Source organism: Homo sapiens, chromosome X, assembly GCF_000001405.40.
Source record: "Homo sapiens chromosome X, GRCh38.p14 Primary Assembly".
Taxonomy (NCBI): domain Eukaryota; kingdom Metazoa; phylum Chordata; class Mammalia; order Primates; family Hominidae; genus Homo; species Homo sapiens.
In genome coordinates, this window is record NC_000023.11 from 48,972,906 (window position 1) to 48,995,212 (window position 22,307).

General features: G+C 50.2%; 1 protein-coding gene across 1 annotated transcript in view, besides 1 other annotated feature; it reads right to left on the minus strand.

Moving 5' to 3' along the window:
- Positions 818 to 22,307, minus strand: part of GRIPAP1 (GRIP1 associated protein 1) — a 28,542-nt gene continuing 7,052 nt past the window's right edge. Inside the window, exons 6-26 of the mRNA NM_020137.5 lie at positions 20,523 to 20,673; positions 18,021 to 18,205; positions 17,780 to 17,827; positions 17,067 to 17,098; positions 16,930 to 16,977; positions 16,706 to 16,805; positions 15,216 to 15,293; positions 14,880 to 14,972; positions 12,363 to 12,497; positions 10,870 to 10,965; positions 10,323 to 10,535; positions 10,074 to 10,187; positions 8,890 to 8,967; positions 8,691 to 8,786; positions 8,511 to 8,567; positions 8,310 to 8,409; positions 5,400 to 5,530; positions 3,336 to 3,458; positions 3,113 to 3,206; positions 2,250 to 2,404; positions 818 to 1,380 (exon numbers count right to left, since the gene is read on the minus strand). Of these exons, the coding sequence (NP_064522.4) occupies positions 1,288 to 1,380; positions 2,250 to 2,404; positions 3,113 to 3,206; positions 3,336 to 3,458; positions 5,400 to 5,530; positions 8,310 to 8,409; positions 8,511 to 8,567; positions 8,691 to 8,786; positions 8,890 to 8,967; positions 10,074 to 10,187; positions 10,323 to 10,535; positions 10,870 to 10,965; positions 12,363 to 12,497; positions 14,880 to 14,972; positions 15,216 to 15,293; positions 16,706 to 16,805; positions 16,930 to 16,977; positions 17,067 to 17,098; positions 17,780 to 17,827; positions 18,021 to 18,205; positions 20,523 to 20,673 (2,220 nt within the window). The 3' untranslated portion in view covers positions 818 to 1,287. The remainder of the gene's footprint in view (positions 1,381 to 2,249; positions 2,405 to 3,112; positions 3,207 to 3,335; positions 3,459 to 5,399; positions 5,531 to 8,309; positions 8,410 to 8,510; positions 8,568 to 8,690; positions 8,787 to 8,889; positions 8,968 to 10,073; positions 10,188 to 10,322; positions 10,536 to 10,869; positions 10,966 to 12,362; positions 12,498 to 14,879; positions 14,973 to 15,215; positions 15,294 to 16,705; positions 16,806 to 16,929; positions 16,978 to 17,066; positions 17,099 to 17,779; positions 17,828 to 18,020; positions 18,206 to 20,522; positions 20,674 to 22,307) is intronic.
- Positions 10,895 to 11,151: a silencer, noted in NCBI's record as "fragment chrX:48840212-48840468 (GRCh37/hg19 assembly coordinates)". NCBI's record gives its function as "represses an EF-1alpha promoter that drives an FKBP-Casp9 reporter gene in an ReSE screen in phorbol 12-myristate 13-acetate-treated (for megakaryocytic differentiation) K562 erythroleukemia cells {active_cell/tissue: K562(+PMA)}" and the evidence as "EXISTENCE:reporter gene assay evidence [ECO:0000049][PMID:32094911]".

Genomic DNA, 22,307 nt, shown 5'->3' on the forward strand with positions numbered 1-22,307 from the left:
TCCACCTACCCATCCACCCATTCTCCCACCCACACAATCAATTCCTCTATCCATCCCTCCACCCACCCGTCCACTTAGTCGTTAATCTACCCACCCACTCATTCATCCATTTGTAAGTTCACCCCATTTGGCTGTTTGCCAATCTATCTGTATGTATCCATCCTCTGCCCATCTCTTCCCACCCGGAACACATGCAGGGTGACATCCTCTGCCCATCTCTGTCCATACATAGCTCCACTTGTCATTTCTTCTCCCACTCTTTACCCTTCCCATTCATTAGCTCATCTACCCATCCATCCATTCCCCCAACCATTGGTCCATTTACTCCTAACCTGTCCATAAACCCATCCATCCACCTGTCTACCTAAATCATCCACCCATTTGTCCATAGACCTATTATCCATCTGTCCATTTACATCTCTACTATCCATCCTCTATCCACCTACCAATCTATCTACCCATTTATTCATCTAACCACCTATCCATCCATCCATTTATTTCCCAATCTATCCATCATCAGTCCATGCAACCGTTCACTTATACATCCATCGGTCCATCCAACCACTTATCCATCCTCCCATCTGTCTACTCATCTATACCCACAATCCCATACATGTCTACCCATGTACATATCTGCAGGTATTTCAGCTCCACTCAGTTTGAGGGGCTGGTCAGCAGTAAATGGAGACAGGCTGGATGAGGGTGGGGAAAAGAGAGTAACGTTGCAGCCAGAGACCTCTCTCCCTATTCCAATGGTGTAAACCTCCCCGCCCCCAGCATATTCCTCCTGGTTGAAAAGAACGAGACGAGACAGTCAGTGGGTGGGCCCGTCTGGCCAGATGGTATTTTGGCTGCATAGCCTTTACACACACACACACACACGTGTTGCTAGAACGCTGAACATGGACCACACACCCACCCAGCATCCCCAATCCCAAATGCAGAGTAGCCAGGCTCCAGACATAAATTAAAAAATAAAATAAAATAAAATAAAAAGAGTTGGTCTCTGGGAAGGAGAGCTCATGCAGAGATGAAGACAGAAGCCCTTGGGAGCCAGGACCAAGAAGAAGGAGAAATCCCTGCCCCTTCCCTCAGGATCCCCACTCCCTGGTGGCCTCTGCCCTAAGACAGGATCATTAACACTAACCATCAGGCCTCTAGCCCCTTTAATGTCCAGTCTCCCAAGCTATTTGATTTTGGCTCCAGCCCTCATTTTTCCACCACAGCCCAAGGGAATAGCATCCTAGGGGGTAGGAAGGGGAGGAGGTGGGTGCAGCCTGCAGGTCTTTAGCTGGTTTCTCCTGGCTCTAGGTCTGGGTCAGGAGGCCCCACGCACTCCTTGCTGAGCCGCACAATTTCCTGGGACAGAACTTCCATATCCTAAGAAACAAATGAACCATCAGGGGCCAGAGAAGGGGACAGGCTGCTCCCTTGCCAAACGTAGGGTATCATCTGTGATTTCCCTCACACCCTTTCATTAATCAATGCTCAGCTGTGTCTGGCCTGGGATGAGAAGGTACTTGGAGAAGCTCACAGCACCCCCAACAGTGGGCAGGGCTCAGAAAAGTCATGAGGATGGGTGGGGAGCTACAGATAATGGGAGTGGGATGCCTCCTGTGGCATGGTGCTGCTGCAGGATACACCACCACTCTGGCCACCTGCTCTTCTAAGTGTGAGCTTGCTTCTCAAAGGCAGGAGCTGGGTCTGACCCCTTTCTAACTCTCAGAGATGGGGAAAGTCCTTGGGTGGCAGTTTGGGCAGAAAGATGTGTGTGTGGACCCATGGGCATGGGGGATCTATGGTAGACAAATTGGTGGACGAATGAATTGTCCAGAGGACAGATGGAGATCAACAGGTGGGCAGGCAGGTAACTGGGTGGGTGAAAGGTAACACAAGGGGCAATTGATGAGTAGATAAGAGAATGATATGTCAAGAAATGGGTGGCAGGACATGGGGTAGACAATGAGATAAGTAAGTAGTAGATTGGGTAGATGGACAGATGGGCAAATGGTTGGGTGAATGTGTAGATAAATGGATGAGCGGGTACATGGAAGGAATGAATGGATAATAAGTTGATGAGAGGGTGGAAGATGAGAGCATGATGGAGTAGTTGATGAGTGGGTAGGAGGATAGCTGGGAGGACAGGCTGGGTGGGTGGGCAAGGGGACTGGCAGATGACCCAGGGGCTATGTGGCTGGGTAGGCAGGTGGCTGGGTGAACAGATGGGTAGGCTGGCAGGCCACACTTGCCTTGTGCAAGTGCATATTCTTGGTGAGCTGCTCCTCCAGCATGTTCTGCAGCTTCTTGTTCATCTCCCGAAGGTTCTCGTCACCTGGCTTCACTAGGTCTCTCAGGACGCTGCCCAGCCCGCTGCGGTCTGTGTGGCCTGCTGCCACAGACACATCTGCAAGGGCCCAGGCTGAAAACCACCCCCTCGGCAGAGCCAGAGGAGAGCCAGGCAGAGCCAGAGGAGAAAAGAGGGAGACGAATACCAGGGGAGAAGGCAGCAGGAAAAGCCATGTCATGTAGGACAGAGGCTTTGACATACAAAACCTAGCTCTGTCACTCACTAGCTCTATGGCCCCGAGAAATGAGGATAACTAACTTGTGGAACTGGAAAGATGCACATGACTGTATGTGAAGCACAGAGCACACAGAAAGTCCTCAGCACATGTTGGTCAGTATGATTCTGATTAATAAAGAAAAATCTGTGAAGGAGAAAGTTTGAAAGAAAGCAAAAGCAATGAAGATACAGAGAAGGAAAACAATATAGACAGCGAGACAAGATGAAGGAGTGGGGTGAAAAAGAGAAACGGAGAAGAGAGAAGGGAGAGAGAGAGGAGAGGAAGATGAGGCACAGGGAGAGGAAAGGAGAAAGTGGACAGAGAGACACAATGGAGAATGGAGAGTGGAGAGATGACAGAGAAAGAGAGAAGAGGGAGGAGGCGAGATCAAGAGACAGTGCTTTCCTGTTCTCCCCTCCACAGGCCATGGTCTTGTCAGTAGCTTCGCTGAGTTCCGAGAGGAGAGGAGAGAAGCCGCAGCACAGAATGGAGAGGGAGGGCCAGGTGAAGGCTGGACCAGGGCTGAGGGCCGGGGAGGGGACACTGACCGATCCGGCTGTCCATGACGTAGGTCTCAATGATGGCGCTCTTCCGGCAGAGGTCCTCTGCCATGGAAGCACTGCTCACTTCCAGGTGCTTCACCTGCAAGATGGCCCAGCCCACCTGAGACCCCTCTACTGTACATGTTCACACATGAGGCGGGCCCGGGCAGACCCCACACCCACAAGGGCACTTCAAGTGGGGATGGGCAGGCAGGCAGGCAGGCAGCACCTTCTCCTCCAGCATCCATTTCTCCTGCTGTGTCTCTGCCAGCCGCTGAAAGAGCTCAGCCACTTCCTCATCTGACAGCTCTGCTGGCCGAGGGGGCTGGGCTTGAGGGCTGCTGGATAAGGACTGCAGGAAAGAGAAGGGGAGAGGCCAGCCCCGGGCTCAGCACCACCGACCCCAGACAGGTGTCAGGGACTGGGGAGGAGAACCAGGCCAGAGGTGGGTGAGAGAACATGGGCCCTGAAGCTGGGACTGTTGGCCCATCTTGGTACCCTCAGACTCTGTTTTCTCCTCTGCCTAAATGGGGGTAGAGAGTAACCACATCAGAGCCTTGTGGAGAGGATTGAAGGAAGATCCCAAAGCAAATGAGATCTAACTTTCAGCTGACAGGAAAACTGGAAGAGAGGGACATGTTAAATCATACCACCAGGAAGCCAGCAGAAAAACCCAAAAGGTAGCATACTTCCTGTGGGGTGACTGGGCTGGCCTCTTCAACAAATTGGTCTCAGGAAAAAAGGGACCGCACTAAAGAGATTTAAGGGCCATAAAACAACCAGATGTAACATGTGCTCTGAATCTGAATGCTAGTTTTCATAAAACCAGCAAGAAAGGACATTCTGGGGCCAACTAGAGAAATCTGGTTAAGGTCAAAGTATCAGACGACATGAATTTTTTTTTTTTTTTTGAGACAGAATTTCACTCTTGTTGCCCAGGCTGGAGTGCAATGGCAAGATCTTGGCTCACTGCAACCTCCAACTCCCAGGATCAAGCGATTCTCCTGCCTCAGCCTCCCGAGTAGATGGAATTACAGGCACGCGCCACTACGCCCAGCTAATTTTTGTATTTTTAGTAGAGATGGGGTTTCACCATGTTGGCCAGGCTGGTCTTGAACTCCTGACCTCAAGTGATCTGCCCGCCTCGGCCTCCCAAAGTACTGGGATTATAGGCAGGAGCCACCGCACCCAGCCAATGACATGAAAATTGATCAAATTGGGAAGGTAGAGACAACAGTTGAATAAAAAACAGGTTAATCTCATCTAGGTTTTAAAAAGAGAGAGAATTCTGGAAGGGTATGAACTAAGAATTTATTTTATTTATTTATTTTTTGAGATGGAGTTTCACTGTTGCCCAGGCTGGAGTGCAGTGGTGTGATCTCGGCTCATTGCAACCTCCACCTCCCAGGTTCAAGCGATTCTCTTGCCTCAACCTTTCGAGTAGCTGGGACTACAGGCACGCACCACCACGCCCGGCTAATTTTTGTATTTTAGTAGAGATGAGGTTTTGCTATGTTGGCCAGGCCAGTTCTCAAACTCCTAACCTCAAGTGATCTGCCCGCCTCAGCCTCCCAAAGTGCTAGGGTTACAGGCATGAGCCACCGCGCCCAGCCCTGAACTAAGAATTTATAATGGTGACGTCTGGATGGTGAAAATATTATTTTTTTTTGACATTTAAGGTTTTTTTGTTTTTGTTTTTTTTTTAAATAGAGTCGGAGTTTTACCACGTTTCCCAGGCTGGTCTTAAACTCCTGAGCTCAAGTGATCCGCCCACCTTGGCCTCCCAAAGTGTAGGATTATAGGGATGAGCCACCACACCCGGCCAGACATTTAAGGTTTTAAAAAAATCTTTGCTCATTTGTGGTTTTTAAAAAATGTACTACAATGAGCACATACTATTTGTGGAACAATAAAAAAGTTATTTCCAAAGGAAAGTGGCTGGTAAGGAGGCTGACATGACAGCCGGCAATAATAATTAGTGATCATTACAAGTTGGAAAAAGGGACCTTCTCCTTGGATGGTGCACCTACTATGAGCCACATAATTTATGGCACCAGAGAAGGGGGAATTAGCCCACAGATGATTAAACAGAAAGTCAGAGAGAGAGAATGACTGGCCTGTCCTGCATGTCGCAATCTGAATCCAAGTTGGTGGGCTTGGGGAAAAGTTGACAAGAAAATATGTGTGCTGCGCCCAAAGTAGGAGATGGGTTTAGGTGAGGAGAAAAGGGGAGGGGTTCTCAGATTTTTGGGTTGAGAGAAGCTGGAGCTGTAGGTTCTTCCTTTCCCCTTACCCTGGCTGGAACAGCCGAGCTCTCCTTTTCCCGCAAGATCTCCCGGTAGCTGAAGGAGGAGATGCTACTGCTGTCCCCTGTCTGGGTCCGGCTTGGTGAGTTCATCTCTGAGAGAACCAGCTCCTCAAGGCCTGGGTGGTGGAGGGAAGAGAAACTTGAGCCCCAATACCCCTGAGTCCCAGGGCAGCAACCAGCAGGAAGAGGCAGAAATAGATTTAACAGAGATGGAAAGAGAGACACCTGGGCATGGGGAAAGGCAGAAGCAGACAGGAGGACAGGGAGAGACAGAGACAGAAAAAAGAGCTGAGGCTGGGCGCACTGGCTCACACCTGTAATCCCAGCACTTTGGGAGGCTGAGGTGGGCTGATCACTTGATGTCAGGAGTTCGAGAACAGCCTGGCCAACATGAAGAAACCCCGTCTCTACTAAAAATACAAAAATTAGCCAGGTGTGGTTGTGTGTGCCTGTAATTCCAGCGATTCAGGAGGCTGAGGCAGGAGAATCGCTTGAACCCAAGGAGGCGGAGGTTACAGTGAGCCGAAATCGCACCATTGCACTCCAGCCTGGGTGACAGAGTGAGACTCTTGTCTCAAAAAAAAAAAAAAAAAAAACAGAAAGAAAAGAAAGAGCTGCCTTTCTGGAGAAACACATACAAAATGAGAGGGAGAAAATGGAAGAGGTTGGAGAAAGAGAACGACATGGGTACACATGGGTCTCAAGTGGCAGACACACTTGGACACAGGGTTCAGAGAAAGGAAGACAGCTAGAGAGGGCACAGGGCACATCCACTTGCAGAAAGAAAATGCCAGAGATGGAAAGCCAGAGCAGATGATAGAAACTGAGACCCTGGTGAAAGAAGTGAGCCAGAGCAGAGACAGAGAGAAAAAAAGATGCCGGGCGCGGTGGCTCACGCCTGTAATCCCAGCACTTTGGGAGGCCGAGGCGGGCAGATCACGAGGTCAGGAGATCGAGACCATCCTGGCTAAAACGGTGAAACCCCGTCTCTACTAAAAATACAAAAAATTAGGTGGGCGTGGTGGCGGGTGCCTGTAGTCCCAGCTACTTGGGAGGCTGAGGCAGGAGAATGGTGTGAACCCGGGAGGCGGAGGTTGCAGTGAGCCGAGATCGCGCCACTGCACTCCAGCCTGGGCGACAGAGCGAGACTCCGTCTAACAAAAAAAAAAAAAAAAAAAAAAAAGAAATGCAAGCAGGCTCTCGTACCCACGCACCTAAATCTCAGTTTAATCTAATGGACAAGGTGAATGTATTGAATGTATGGTATACGATTGTAACGTTTCCCAAGATTATTATTATTATTATTTTTTAGACAGAGTTTCAGTCTTGTCGCCCAGGCTGGAGTACAATGGCGCAATCTCGGCTCACTGCAACCCCTGCCTCCTGGGTTCAGGCAATTCTCCTGACTCAGCCTCCCGAAGTAGCTGGGATTACAGGCGCCCGCCACCACACCCAGCTAATTTTTTGTATTTTCAGTTGAGACGGGGTTTCACCGTGTTGGCCAGGCTGGTCTTGAACCCCTGACCTCAGGTGATCCACCCACCTTGGCCTCCCAAAGTGCTGGGATTACACCTTTCCCAAGATTCTTACATTCATCTGTGATAAAACAGAAACAAAACTCCTTTTTAAAGAAAGGTTACTTCAGGAGACCGAGTGCCTCAGAGAGAAATTGATTTGGTGAGAGATACACATCTGTTTTGCCACATCACTTAAAGCCCTCGAGGATCTCTGGCAAGGGTGGGGTGACTGAGTGGGGATCCGTAGGTATCCCGAGTGGGGGAATAAGGGACCAAGTTTTCTCTGAGTCTGTAATCTAAGAGATGCACCAGAGCCATCACTGCATTTTACTTACTTAAATGTATTTATAGGCCATCCCCGTCTTAAAAAAGGCTGAAGCAACTAAAGTTGTGTGTGTGTGTGTGTGTGTGTGTGTGTGTGTGTGTGTGTCTTCTGCTTGAAGTGGCAGAAATAACAGATTGGATTAGCTGTATAATGAAAACACCACAGCGTTGCTGACTATGTATAAGTCTGTCTCCGTAGCTCAACTGGGGGCTTCTAGAGGGCAGAGACTCAGGGAGTTTTATATCAGGGACCCTGTACTTGAGCAGGGAGATTTATAGAATGAGAGATTGTATACAATAGATTTAGAAATGCCAAGTGAGGTGTGGGAGTGTGTAATGTAGTACATACAGTGAGGAGACAGACAGAGATATAAACAGAAGAGACGAAGAGGACACAGAGTGGCGGGAAGAGATAAAGGGACAGAGAAAAGAAAGGGCGGGGGCCGGGCCCAGTGGCTCATGCCTATAATCCCAACACTTTGGGAGGCTGAGGCGGGCGGATCACCTGAGGTCGGGAGTTCGGGACCAGCCTGACCAACATGGAGAAACCCCGTCTCTACTAAAAATACAAAATTAGCTGGGCGTGGTGGTGCATGCCTGTAATCCCAGCTACTCAGGAGGCTGAGGCAGGAGAATTGCTTGAATCCAGGAGGCAGAGGTTGCGGTGAGCCGAGATCACACCATTGCACTCCAGCCTGGGCAACAAGAGCGAAACTCTGTCTCAAAAAAAAAAAAAGAGAGAGAAAAGGAGAAAACTAGAGAAAGAAAGCAAGGAGATAAAGGCAAACATAGAGGAAAGAGAGAGAACAAACTGAGACAGAGGCAGAGACAGAAACAGAGAAGAGACAGGGCAAAAACGAGAGAAAGATAGAAATAAAGAGAGAATGCAGAGAAAGAATCAGAGGAGAGACAGAGAAAAGGTAAAAGATGGAGTTCCAGAGCGACAGAAGCAGGAAAGCACAGCTGAGGAAGATGCAGGACTAACCTGCAGCCTGCAGGCCCAGGCCCTACCTCCCCCATGCCTCAGCCTCCTCTCCCTGTCCTAGTCCCTCACCTGAGCGGCTCTTGCTGTTAGTGAGGATGTCCTGCAGTCGCTCCTGCAGCTTATCTGCCCGTTTCCGCTCCAAATGCAGCTGCCGCTTGAGGTCCTTGAGCTGTGGGGGACAGGGGTAACATGAGGACTGAGGCCCAGTGGGCCCATAGGAGGGAGGCTACAGGTAGGAGGGAGCCGTGCTTGGGCACCGCTCTGTCTTACCGCAGCACTGCCCTTCTTCTCCAGGATCCTCTGCCCATCCACTGTGTCCTTCACCTCCTGTGGGAGAAAGCAGGCATGGCTGGTAGATGCCGGAAGGGCTGCCTGAAGCATGCTCCCTCCCTGCCCCTCCTGTACGCTGAGGATCAGGGGTGTGTCTGGGGCTGTGCAGTGACCACTGACCTGCTTCAGGCTGCTAATGGTCTTCAGGTGGCAGTCCCGCTCCTCCTGGGCCTGCTCGAGCTGATCCCGTACATCCTGTAGCTCCTCCTCCTTGCCCTGCAAAGCAGAAAGCAGCTTAGGCATTGGCTTGGGAAGCCTCTGTCCTCCCAGGAGGGCCCGTCACTGTCTGGAGAGAGGAACACCATCATGCGAGAGGCACCTTCAGCTCGGCAGCGTGCTGCTCCCGACACTGCTTGAGGGCTTCCTCTTGTTCCTGCTGCTGCTGCTGCAGGGATTCCTACAAGACAAGTCCCAGGTCTGGCCACAGCCCCCCAGAAGGTATCATGCCCAGTTAGGGGTATGAGGGACTGCAATGGGGGCCCAGAGGTATGCAGAAATGACCCTCCTGCAGGGAACCCCACACGCCCTTAGGCAATATGCTGAAGTGTCACATCTAAAGTTGCACCATTCGCATGGTTGACTTAGATTTGCATTTACATTTTATTTTATTTAACAAAACATAGCGCTTACTACATGCCAAGAATGTTCTAAGGGTTTTACATATATTAACTCATTTTCTATAATCCTCCCGTAATACCTAGATGGTAGATATTATTGTTACCCCCTTTTTACCATTGATGAAAACAGGCCACAGAGAGGTCAGATAACTTGCCCAAGGTCACACAGCTAGGAAATGGCCCAGCCAGGATTCAAACCTAGACAAACAACTGGCTCCAGCCTGTGCTCTTCACTGCTACATGACAATGCCTTTCAGTGTATTATGAGATTTCCAGAAAATGGCAACAAAGGTTCTTTTTCCGAGACAGAGTCTCACTCCGTCACCCAGGCTGGAGTACAGTACACGATATCAGCTCACTGCGACCTCTGCCTCCTGGGTTCAAGTGATTCTTCTGCCTCAGCCTCCTGAGTAGCTGGAATTACAGGCGCCAGCCACCATGCCCGGCTAATTTTTGTATTTTTAGTAGAGACAGGGTTTCACCATGTTGGCCAGGCTGGTCTTGAACTCCTGACCTCAAGTGATCCGCCCACCTCGGCCTTCCAAAGTGCTGAGATTACAGGCGTGAGCCACCGCACCCAGCAGGTTCTTGTTCAATAACATCAGTGTATTGCATTAATTTCCTGACAGAAGTACAGTTTCAGGAGAAAGAGGTGCCTTTCCAAATTTGCACAAAGGCAGGGCAGCCTTAACACGTGACAGTCTGTCCTATCTGATGGCCATCCCCTGATCCACTCCAGAGGGCTGCTATTGAGCCAGGGGACTGTGGGGATATCCCTAAGTCCAGAAAATCTCGGGAAGTTCCAGGGCCTGACCACTCCTGCTTCTGTGGTTTGACATGAGGGCCCCAATCAGCCTCTGTTCCTCACCAGGCATCACCAACTCACCTCGGCTTCCTTCAAGCGCCGTTCAAACCAGCCCTTGGCTCCATCCATGGAATGTACCTGAGCTTGAAGTTCTTCCACTGTCTGCTGGAGAGTCTCCAGCTCCCGTGTCCGGGCCTGGGATGGGGCAGACTGTCATGGGCCAGGAAGGCAGAGGAGCGGGCACCTGATGCATGCCACCCACTGGCCTATCAGCAACGCTGTGGTTCCCAGGTTTTAGAGGAAGAAGGGCATCATCATCTACCCACCCACCTTCTCCTCCCGGATCTGCCCACGGAGCTCCTCCTCCTGACGCTTCTTGTCTTCATGCAGCTCTCGGAGCTCACGCTCATAGCGGGCACGCACCCCCAGCACCTCCTTCTCATGCCGTAGACGAACTGCTCCCAGCTCTTCCTTGTGCTGGGACTTCTCTTGCAGCGTTTCCATTGCTAGCTCATCCAGCATGGCCTTCCGCTTCTCCGCACTCTGGGGGCCAGGACGATGGCAGTCAACTTCCTTCCACAACATCGAAAAAAGGCCTCCAACCCTCTTCCCATGCCCAAGGAACTAGCCAAACTCCACTCCCTCCCATCCCCACTGAACTGGCTAAGGCACTCACCCATCCTTATAGAACTGGTCACTTTCTTTCTTTCCCCTCCCACTCTCATGGATTTGGCCAAGAAACTGGTCAACCAGAAACCAGTCAATTTTCCTTTCCCTCCTATCCCCACATGTTTGGTTATATCACCTCCTCCCATCCCCATGGACTGAGCCAATTCCTACCCCCCATCCTCTCCCTTCAACCCTCATGTTCCCCTACCTTCCGAGCCTCCTGTAATTCCTGGGTCAACTGCTCCTTCTCCTGCCCTATTTCTTGAAGTTGTTCCAGCAGTCGACTATTGGCCCGTAATGACTCCTAATGCAGACACCAAAGGGAAAGAGTTTGATAAAGAGCATCCAGTAGGTGCTAGTCACCCAGGACCATCTGGTAGACCATCTCCCTTCTCCCTGGTAAAGTTGGTATTGTGATCTCAATTTCTGGATAGGAAATATAGCAGAGACTGCTAGTTGCTCCCCAGTATTCATTCTTCCTTACTTCCCTAGCAATAAAATTTATCATCGGGCATACAGCTGTCTAGCAGATGTTTCCCCTCCTCCCTTATGGTTAGGTGTGGCCATGTGATTTATTTCTGTATGTGGAAGTGGTGAGTGTAATTTAGGTTATGCTCTTAAAGGAAAGGGGCACACTCTTCCCTGCCCCTTTCCTCCTTCCTTCCAGATAGAATACAAACATGATGGTCGGGGAGTTTCAGCAACCGTCTTGGATGCCAAGATAAAAGTCTTGTGTTGAAGGTGGAGGAACAGCAATGGAGAAAGAACCTGGGTCACAGATGACTGGAAAGCCATCATTCCATCCCTGAATAACCTACCTGGACTTTTAATGAGAGGGAACTAAATTTGTATCTTATTTAATCTACTATTATTCTGGTTTCTATTATGGAATCAGAATGGATATTGCTTGGGAGGCTGAGCCGGGTAGATCTCCTGAGGTCAGGAGTTTGAGAAGCCTGACCAACATGGTAAAACCCCGTCTCTACTAAAAATACAAAATTAGCTGGGCGTGGTGCCAGGCGCCTGTAATCCCAGCTACTCCGGAGGCTGAGGCAGGAGAATCGCTTGAACCCAGGAGGCGGAGGTTGCAGTGAGCTGAGATCGCGCTACTGCACTCCAGCCTGGGCAACAGAGTGAGACTCCATCTCAAAAAAAAAAAAAAAAAAAAAAAAGGAGCCGGGCGTGGTGGCTCACGCCTGTAATACCAGCACTTCGGGAGGCCGAGGCGGGCAGATCACGAGGTCAGGAGATCGAAACCATCCTGGTTAACACGGTGAAACCCCGTCTCTACTAAAAATACAAAAAATTAGCTGGGCATGGTGGCAGGCGCCTATAGTCCCAGCTACTCGGGAGGCTGAGGCAGGAGAATGGCGAGAACACGGGAGGCGGAGCTTGCAGTGAGCCGAGATCACGCCACTGCACTCCAGACTAGGTGACAGAGCAAGACTCCATCTCAAAAAAAAATTAAATTAAATTAAAATTTAAAAAATGAAAAAGAATTGATATCCTAACTAACTGAAGAGGCTCAGTTTCAGAGAAGTGAAATGACTTGTCCCAGAACACACAGGTGCTAATAAGTTAGGGAGCCAGACTGGAACCTAGGTCCTCCTGACTCCAGTCTTCCCACTCCACCTTACTGGGGACTTCACTGGGCCATTACTAGGGAACTAGGAAGAGACAGGCCAGAGCCAAAGGTGTTACCTGGAGCTGGGAGTTGAGGTCATCTTTCTGTCCCATAAGGTCCTCGTACTCAGCCTGCTGCTGCTGCAACTCAGCTGCCAGCCCAGTGGTCTGTTCCCGGAGCATATTCAGTTCTTGGGTCTTTGCTGTTTGGATCTGGAGAAAGTAGTGGTGATGAGAAGTAGAGTGAAAGGGACCCCAGGGGCCAGGGACAGGGTATGAGCCCCCTAGTTCCAGGGAAACAGGGAGGGAGGTGGGAAGAGAACCAGGAAGAGAGAGGAAATTTCAAACAGAAAAACAATGAAGAGAATGGGTAAATGTGGTATGTTCATACAATGGAATACCACACAACAGTAAGAGAACAGATCTGTGCTGCCACGTGGATAAACTTACATAGTGCTGCCAGAAAGAAGTCAGAGACAAAGAGCAGCTGATTCCATTTATATGAAGTTAAAGAACAAGCGAAATGAATCTTATGTTGCTAGAGATCAGAATAATGGTTACTTCTGGGGGAGTACTGACTTTGAAGGGGTAAAGGGGACCTTCTGGGGTACTAAAAGTGCTTTATACTTTGATCTGGGTGGTGGCTATGGTGGCGGGGAGAGAGAGAGAAAAAAAAGAGAGAGACGAAGAGAGGATTCACTGAGTGTACACTTAAGATTAGTACATTTCATGCACTTTACTAGAGAGAAACTAGAAACAAAGAAAAGCAGAAGCCGGGCGCGGTGGCTCATGCCTGTAATCCCAGCACTCTGGGAGGCCGAGGCGGGTGGATCATGAGGTCAGGAGTTCGAGACCAGCCTGGCCAAGATGGTGAAACCCCGTCTCTACTAAAAATACAAAAATTAGCTGGGCATGGTGGCACACGGCTGTAGTCCCAGCTATTTGGGAGGGCTGAGGCAGGAGAATCGCTTGAACCTGGGAGGCGGAGGTTGCAGTGAGCCGAGATCGTGCCATAGCACTCCAGCCTGGACAACAAGACCGAAACTCCGTCTACAAAAAAAAAAAAAAGCAGAGATAGGCCAAGCACAGTGGCTCACACCTATAATCCCAGCACTTTGGAAGGCCGAGGTGGGAAGATAGCTTGAGGCCAGAAGTTTAAGCCAGTCTGGGTAACATAGTGAGACCCTGTCTCTACAAAATAATTTTGTTTTCTCTTTTTTGAGATGGAGTCTCACTCTGTCACCCAGGCTGGGGTGCAGTGGCACAATCTCGGCTCACTATAACCTCCACCTCCCAGGTTCAAGCAATTCTCCTGCCTCAGCCTCCCGAGTAGCTGGGATTACAGGTGTGCGCCACCATGCCCAGCTATTTTTTTTTGTATTTTTAGTAGAGACGGGGTTTCACCATATTGGCCAGGCTGGTCTCGAACTCCGAACCCCAGGTGATCCGCCCGTCTCAGCCTTCCAAAGTGCTGGGATTATAGGCGTGAGCCACTGCGCCTGGCCTAATTTTTGTATTTTTAGTAGAGACAAGGTTTTGCCATGTTGGCTAGGCTGGTCTCAAACTCCTGATGTCAGGTGATCCGCCCACCTCTGCCTCCCAAAGTGCTGGGATTACAGGTGTGAGCCATCATGCCCGGCCAATAAGTTTTTTTTCGTTTTGTTTTTTGTTTTTTTGAGACAGAGTTTCACTCTTGTTGCCCAGGCTTGAGTGCAATGGCACGATCTCGGCTCACCGCACACTCCACCTCCTGGGCTCAAGCAATTCTCCCACCTCAGCCTCCCGAGTAGCTTGGATTACAGGTGCCCACCACCACACCCAGCTAATTTTGTATTTTTAGTAGAGACGGGGTTTCTCTATGTTGGTCAGGCTGGTCTCGAACTCCTGACCTCAGGTGATCCGCCCTCCTCGGCCTCCCAAAGTGCTAGGATTACAGAATTGAGCCACCATGCCCGGCTTTTTTTTTTTTTTTTTTTTTAGACGGAGTCTCGCTCTGTTGCCCAGGCTGGAGTGCAATGGCACGATCTCGGCTTACTGCAACCTCCGCCTCCTGGGTTCAAGAGATTCTCCTGTCTCAGCCTCCCGAGTAGCTGGGATTACAGGCACACACCGCCACACCCAGCTAATTTTTTGTATTTTAGTAGAGATGGGGTTTCACCGTGTTGCCCAGGCTGGTCTTGAACTGAGCTCAGGCCATCCACACATCTTTGGCCTCCCAAAGTGCTAGGATTACAGGCATGAGCCACCACGCCCTTTTTTTTTTTTTTTTTTTTTTGAGACAGAGTATTGCTCTGTCGCCCAGGCTGGAGTACAGTGGTGCGATCTCGGCTCACTGAAACCTCTGCCTCCTGGGTCCTGGTTCAAGCAATTCTCCTGCCTCAGCCTCCCCAATAAAATTTTTAAAAGTTAAAAAAAAAAAAAAGTAGGGATGGATGGCCAGAGAGAAGAGGGCTGGACGCCAACAGAAAGGAGCAACAGAAACAAAGACAGGAGAACAGCATGGGGTCCAGACCACCCTACCCTGATGTGGACCAGAAGCAGATGGAGATGGGGGAACTGGAGAGGGATCAGCAAGGGCCCCCAGGTGTTCTTTACCTGCTCCAGGGCAGCCAGGCTAGTCCTCAAGGCATTGTTCTCAGCCAAAAGCCCTTCCACTTGTTCCTGTGCATCTGCACTCTGGATGGATACCTGGCCCCACGTCCACAGCAGGTGAGAGTGGGTCCAGAACAGGGGGACAGGACCTACCCACGACCAAGAAAGAAAGGACACACACACACACACACACACACACACACACACACACACACACACACACACACACGAAGGCCTGGGGGAAGCAGGATCCCTGGGACCTTGCCTGACTATGTAGTACCCACTCAGGCTGCCCCCATCCTGAACCCCAGCTCCCTGAGCCCACGCAGTACAATATACCTGATCTTGTAGGGCCCGCAAAGCTGCTGCATGTTCCAGGCGCTCCCCCTGCCGCTGATCTCTCAGCTCTGCCAAGCTCTGTGGAGACCAGGGGAGCCCATTTTACACCTCAGCCTCTCCTGGGGTGCATATAACCGTACAGACTCTCTGTTTGACCACCCAGCAGCATGTTCTCAGCACCTGTGGGTCTCAGACTATCCAGCCAACAGCAATCTCAGGTTCACCCAGACGCCAGGTCACTACCCTCAGGGGCCTCAGACACAGTCAACCCCTCTATCCCAGCGTACAAGATCTCAGGCACGACTAGACTCCTGGCCCTAGCTGCTACGCGGTTCAAACTCACTCAGCTCCCATCCATAAGAAGTCTCATGCTCACCCAGATTCTAGCTTGGGAGCTCCAGGATTCTCAGACACAGTCAGCCCCATGGATCTCAGATGTAGTCAGCACCCAAGGATGACAGTTTCACCCAGCCTCCCAATCCCAACCACCAGGGGTTTCAGACACACTCATCTCCCACGTCCCTACTTCCCAGGTGAGATCCACCCAAACTCATAGTCCCAGATCCTAGAGGTCTCAAACTCACAACCTCCTAGTTTCCAGGTCCTGGTGAACTCTCAGACTGACCCCTTCACCTGTCACTCTGCTCCCCAGTCTCTTGGAATCTTCAGACCCAGTTAACCACCAGTTCCTGGGGGTCTCAGCTTTACCCAGACTCCCGTCTCAGACCCCATGTTCCCAGTTTCTAGGGACTTCAGAACCACAAGCCACCATATCCTCCATTCCAAGGGACCTCAGACTCACCTTTTCTAGAAGGAAACCCAGAGGCTTCAGAACCATCCAGCCCCCAGTCCTCAGGAGCCTCAGACCCACCTAAACTTCTGCTCCAGCCCCTGGAGGTCTCAGACTGACCAGCTTTTTGTTCACAGCCCTCAAGGATCTCAGGACTACCTAGCCCATATGATCCCACTTCCTAGGTGTCTTAGGCCCAAGCCAGCGCCCAGATCCTGAGGATCTCAAATGCACTCAGCCTTCAGCCCCAACTATCTCACCCTTGAAAGTTGTATATCTACCCAGCCATGTCCTCAGCCCTTGGGAGTCCCAAATTTACTGACATCCCAGCCCCTAAAGATTTCAAAGTCACCCAGCACCCAGGGAGTTCAGACTTACCCCAGTTCCTGGTCCTAGGCCCTAGTGACCACAGATTCATCCAGACTGTGGTCTCAAACCTCCAGGAGTTTCAGATTTACACAAACTTATAGCACACAGCCCCCTAAGTCCTTAGCCCCCTGAGATCTTACACTCATGAAGACTCCTATAACAATTCCTAGGGCTCTCCAATTCCCATTTTCCTAGCTCCTGGGGGGCCCCAGAACCCATTTCCAACACAGGAAATCTCAGACTCCCCAGCCAGCCTCCATGGACCTCAGACCTCTCCAGGCTCCCAGTCCTGGCCCCTACCCCAGGGATCTCAGAACCCAGTCCCCATCACCTGATTGGCAGCCTCAAGTTCCTGCTGCAGCTTCTGGGTTCGAGCCAACTGGGCTTTGTGATCAGCTTCCTTCCGTTGTTGTAATTCCTCAATCTTGTTCCTAGGAGTGATGGGGAGGGGGTGTGTTGGACATGGCTTGAGGCCCAGTCTCCTAGCTCTGCCCCTGTAATCTTCACTGGGCACTGTCCCAATTGTCCACCAATACCCGCAAATCTGGCAGTTACCTGCTGTCATTAAACAGAGTCTCCTTTTCTGTCTGCAGACGGCAAAAACTGGGCACAGAAGGACAGATGTAGATGGGTCAGTTCCGTAAGTTAATTCCCCCCTCGGCCCCCAGTACCCTTGGGAAAAAGAAATTTACCTTTCTTGTTTCTTTTTCAGTTTCTCGGAGAGCTGGGGAGAGAGGTACAGACAAGTGATAACATTGAGAATAATATAAAGACAAACCTAAAATTAATAAATATAGACACTTCTTATTAAGTCATTTTTGGAAGCCAGGATTTACTTATGTTGTCTTGTGGAATCCTCAAAATAGCCCTGACAAGTGAGTAGTACCAGTTTTACAAATGGGGAAACAGAGTCTTGGAAAGGTTAAGTAATTTGGTTGCTCAGCGGGTCAGCAACAACAATATTATCTCCACCCAGATCCTTCAGGTTCCAAAGCCCGGTATTTATGCTCCCAACATAGTGGCCAATGGCCATGTTATAGATTGGCTAGGCTGGGAGGCCTGGAAAGCAGGATATCATGACTGGGTGCCGCACCCCTGGGTCTCCAGGTCCTAAGATAAGAGCCAGGAGTCTGTAAATGCTTGCATGAATGAATGAATGAGTGAATGGGCAAAGCTGAGAGATGGATGGGATGAAACTTATCATGCACAAGATATAGTGGGACCACATTAACTCATTCCATACTGAAAGTAACTCTGAGACATAGGTGTGAGTCTCTCCATTTCACAGATGATGAAACCTAGGCTTTGATGGGGTACAATGCCCCTTCTGCCCTAGGATTGGGAATGGAATGGGAAAGAATCCAGCAGATTGGGAGCAGAATGGGAAAGAGCCAAGCAGCCGCACCTTAGCAAGTTCCTCCTGCAGCCTGGATGTTTCGGCCTGCTTTGAGCTCTGCAGGGAAGGATGAGGGATGGGAGGGTTGTTGTTAGCAAGGACAAGGAGAAGCCTTCCCCTGCCCTCCTGCCTCCCTCACCCCATCAGCCCACAAGATGGTGATGTCACAGCCATCTCCGTGGGACTATAGACAGAGGTAGAACATCTGCCCTGCCTTCTGGCATTCCAGCTCCAACAGACTCAGATTCACCTCTAAGCCTTGCAGCTGTTCCCAGAGCAATCTCTTCTCCTCTTTCTCCATTTCCCATTTCAGCTCCACCTCTGCCAACGGCATGGGGGCCAGGACGGTGGGGGCCAGGCCCCCTGGGGGATCCCCCTGGCCCTCACTGACAGCTGAGAACTTCCCGGCTTCTTTCCCATAGCGTTCCTGCAGGGCTGGTGAGTAGAACAGGGATATATGATGGATGAGGTGGTCTCTGAAGTCCCTTGCCATGCCTCGAATAGAGGGAGAACTGGCCTTCAACCCCTCAGGTGGCAGAGTCCCTGTGCCAAATGACCACATGCCTAAAAGACGAAGGTTCAGCTCTATCCATGCCTCTCACATTTTTTTCTTTTTTTTTTTGAGACAGGGACTTGCTCTGTCACCCAGGCTGGAGTGCACTGGAATGATCACAGTTCACTGCAACCTTGACCTCCTGGGCTCAAGTGATTCTCCCACCTCACTCTCCCAAGTAGCTGGGATCAGAGGTGTGTGCCATCATGCCGGGCTAATTTTTTGATTTTTTTGTAGAGACAAGGTCTCGCTACATTGCCCAGACTGGTCTTGAACTCCTGAGCTCAAGCAATCCTCCCACCTCAGCCTCCCCCAAAAATCTTTTTCCGTGGCTGGGCACGGTGGCTCACGCCTGTATCCCAGCACTTTGGGAGGCCAAGGCAGGTGGATCATGAGGTCAGGAGTTCAAGACCAGCCTGACCAATATGGTGAAACCCCGTCTCTACTAAAAATACAAAAATTAGCTGGGCGTGGTGGCGCACGCGCTTGTAATCCCAGCTACTCGTGGGGCTGAGGCAGGAGAATCGCTTGAACCCAGGAGGCAGAGGTTGCAGTGAGCCGCGATCGAGCCATTGCACTCCAGCCTGGGTGACAGAGTGAGACTCCGTCTCAAAAAAATCTTTTTCCCTAGACAGTCTTGCTCTGTTGCCCAGGCTGGTGTGCAGTGGTGCAATCATAGCTCACTGCAACCTCAAACTCCTGGGCTCAAGCGATCCTCCCAAGTAGCTGGGACTACAAGTGCACACCATGCCCAGTTAATTTTATTTTATTATTTATTTATTTGTTTATTTTCTTGAGACTGAGTCTTTCTCTGTCACCCAGGCTGGAGTACAGTGGTGTGATCTCGGCTCACTGCAACCTCTGCCTCCCAGGTTCAAGTGATTCTCCTGCCTCAGCCTCCCAAGTAGCTGGAATTACAGGCATTTGCCATCAAACCTGGCTAATTATTGTATTTTTAATAGAAATGGGGTTTTGCCATGTTGGCCAGGCTGGTCTTGAACTCCTGACCTCAGGCGATCTGCCCACCTTGGCCTCCCAAAGTGCTAGGATTACAGGTGTGAAACACCGTGCCTGGCCTAATTATTTTATTTTTAGTACACACAAGTTCCTGCTATGTTGCCTAGGCTGGTCTTAAACTCCTAGCCTCAAGAGATCCTTCTGCCTCAGCCTCCCAGAGTGCTGGAATCAAGGTATGAGCCACTGTGCCCAGGCTCTCACAAATATTTTAAGCCCTATCAACCACTAAGATTCTGTTTACTATTAAATTAGCCCAAGCTGGTTTCACAAATCCCATTCTCAATCCTTGAAGCCCCACCCATAGCCCTTGAAGGCCATGCCCACCATATGCTACCACTGACTTACAGCTGAATCCCTCCTAGAGCCTCCTAATTCCTACTCACATTCTACTAAGTCTCCCTCCTGGTCATGGAACCAGCATCCATCACCACAGAAGTCCCAGCTGCTCTCCAAAGTTCCACACACCACATGCTCCCACACTCTATCAAGCTTTCTTTCAGCTTTCATCCCAGACCCCACTTACAATCTGGGCTCAGAATCTTCCCAACACTCCATTCACTTTTTCACTTAGCAAATATCTCCTTTTTTTTTTTGAGATGGAGTCTCGCTCTGTCGCCCAGGCTGGAGTGCAGTGGTGTGATCTCGGCTCACTGCAAGCTCCACCTCCCAGGTTCACACCATTCTCCTGCCTCAGCCTCCAGAGTAGCTGGGACTACAGGCGCCCGCCACCGTGCCCGGCCAATTTTCTGTATTTCTAGTAGAGACGGGGTTTCACCATGTTAGCCAGGATGGTCTTGATCTGCTGACCTCGCAATCCGCCCGCCTCAGCCTCCCAAAGTGCTGGGATTACAGGCGTGAGCCACCGCGCCCGGCCGCAAATATCTCCTTTTTGACATTCAAGCTGCTAATCTGTAACATCTGCTAGGTACCAGACACTGAACTAATGCAGAATGATATCACCTTTTATCTCTACTACAATCTTCTGGGTGACAGACATCACTACATGCACTGTGTAGATGATAAGGCTTTGGCTCAGAGAGGTGAAATGGCTTGTCCAAAGCCACACAGGGCATGGGCCAACCCTATTTCTGAAGCCCTTCTCCTTCCCCTGAGAGGATGACGGCCTTCCTTGCCCTACTCAAGCCCCAATGTCTCCGCATCCCCAGGAGGGCCTCTATGCACCTGCCACGTTCTTCTGCAAGGCTGTGTTTTCAGCCTGTAGCCTCAGCAGCTCCCCATCCACGAGGGGCCCAGCTTGGGCAACCCCTGCTCCTGCAGCCCCCTCCTTCAGTTGCTGGTTCTCTTGCTCCAGCTGTTCCATCTGGCTGCAGAGCTGAACAGAGGAAGAGAAGGGGCAGAGAAGCAGAGAATCAGAGCAGTATTTGCTGAAACCTACATAGCATTTGTCCATGTACTTTACAATTCACTTAATTCCCATAATGACCCTATGATATAGGTGCCCTCCCACTTTACAAATAAGGACATTGAGGCACAGAGATGTTAAACAAGTTCAAATTCACACATCTTTTAAGTGGCAGAGTCAGAGAATACCAAGAGCATACCAAGTATGAGGACACCAAAAACCATTTTCCTCTTCCTACTCCCAACCTCAGAGATGCAATCCAAGACCTCAGGCTCCTCTGGAAGTTGTTAGTGCTACAGACAGCCTCACTGCAACCCCTCTTCTGTGGAGGGCTGGATCCTGGGCCCAGAGATAGCTCCCTCTCATCCTAAGCACCACAAAGAGCTCGCAGGGCATTTCCAGGGCCAACACTGATGACAGCTCCTGCATTGCCAGCCGTTAGTCTTGGAGAGGTATACAATGCCAATACAACTAAGCCAGCCCCCTGCCCAACTCCTGGCTGAAGTACACTTCTCAAAGCAGTCCTGAGAAAATTCCTTGTCCCCATTTTCAGATGAGAATATCGAGGCCTACAGAGAATTTTTATTTTATTGCCTGCAATATTTTCTTTCTTTTTTTTTTTTTTTTTTTTTTGAGATGGAGTCTCGCTCTGTCACCCAGCCTGGAGTACAGTGGCACGATTTCAGCCCACTGCAACCTCCGCCACCCGGGTTCAAGTGATTCTCCTGCCTCAGCCTCCTGAGTAGCTGGGACTACAGGCATGCGCCACCGTGCCCGGCTAATTTTTGTATTCTTATTAGAGACGGGGTTTCGCCATGTTGGCCAGGCTGGTCTTGAACTCCTGACCTCAGGTGATCCACCTGCCTCGGCCTCCCAAAGTGCTGGGATTACAGGCATGAGCCACCGCACCCGGCCTGCTTGCAATATTTTCTACCCAGAACACCAATCCTCTCATCCAGTTCTTCACCTAACTGGCTTCTTTGCATCCCTCAGTGCTCTGCTCAGATGTTGCCTTTAAAGTAGTATCCCTCAACACAGAAAATTCCAGTACTCTCTGTCACAGCACTGTTCATTTCTTTCTTACCTAGTACTAATCAAAATTTTCTTTTGTAACAAGCACAGATTCTGAAACCAGACTGCTTGAATGTGAATTTCTGCTCTGCCATTTACTAGCTGTGTGACAAATTACTTAATCTCCCTGGAACTCAGTTTTCCTCATCTGTCAGATAGGGATACTAATATCTCATAGGCTTATTTCAAAGATTAAATGAGTGAATAATGTAGAGTACTTCAAACAGGACTTGGCACACAGTAAGCACCATATAAATGTCAGCTATCACTACTAGTATTATTTGTTTACTGTTATCATCTTTCTCCTCATCCCACCCCCAGAATGTAAGCTACCCAAGAGTGGAGATCATTCTGTGCTGCTTACAACTGTATTTCCAGAACATAGAGCATGTGGTGGGTACTCAGTAACTATTTGTCGAAGGAACAATTAAGCTGAAATGTCTTGATGAATAAGGGGTGGTGGCAGGTTTAACGTAGCTCTCTCTGAGAGCACTTCCAGTTCCTGGGAGGAGTTGGAGGAGGAAGGGGACTAT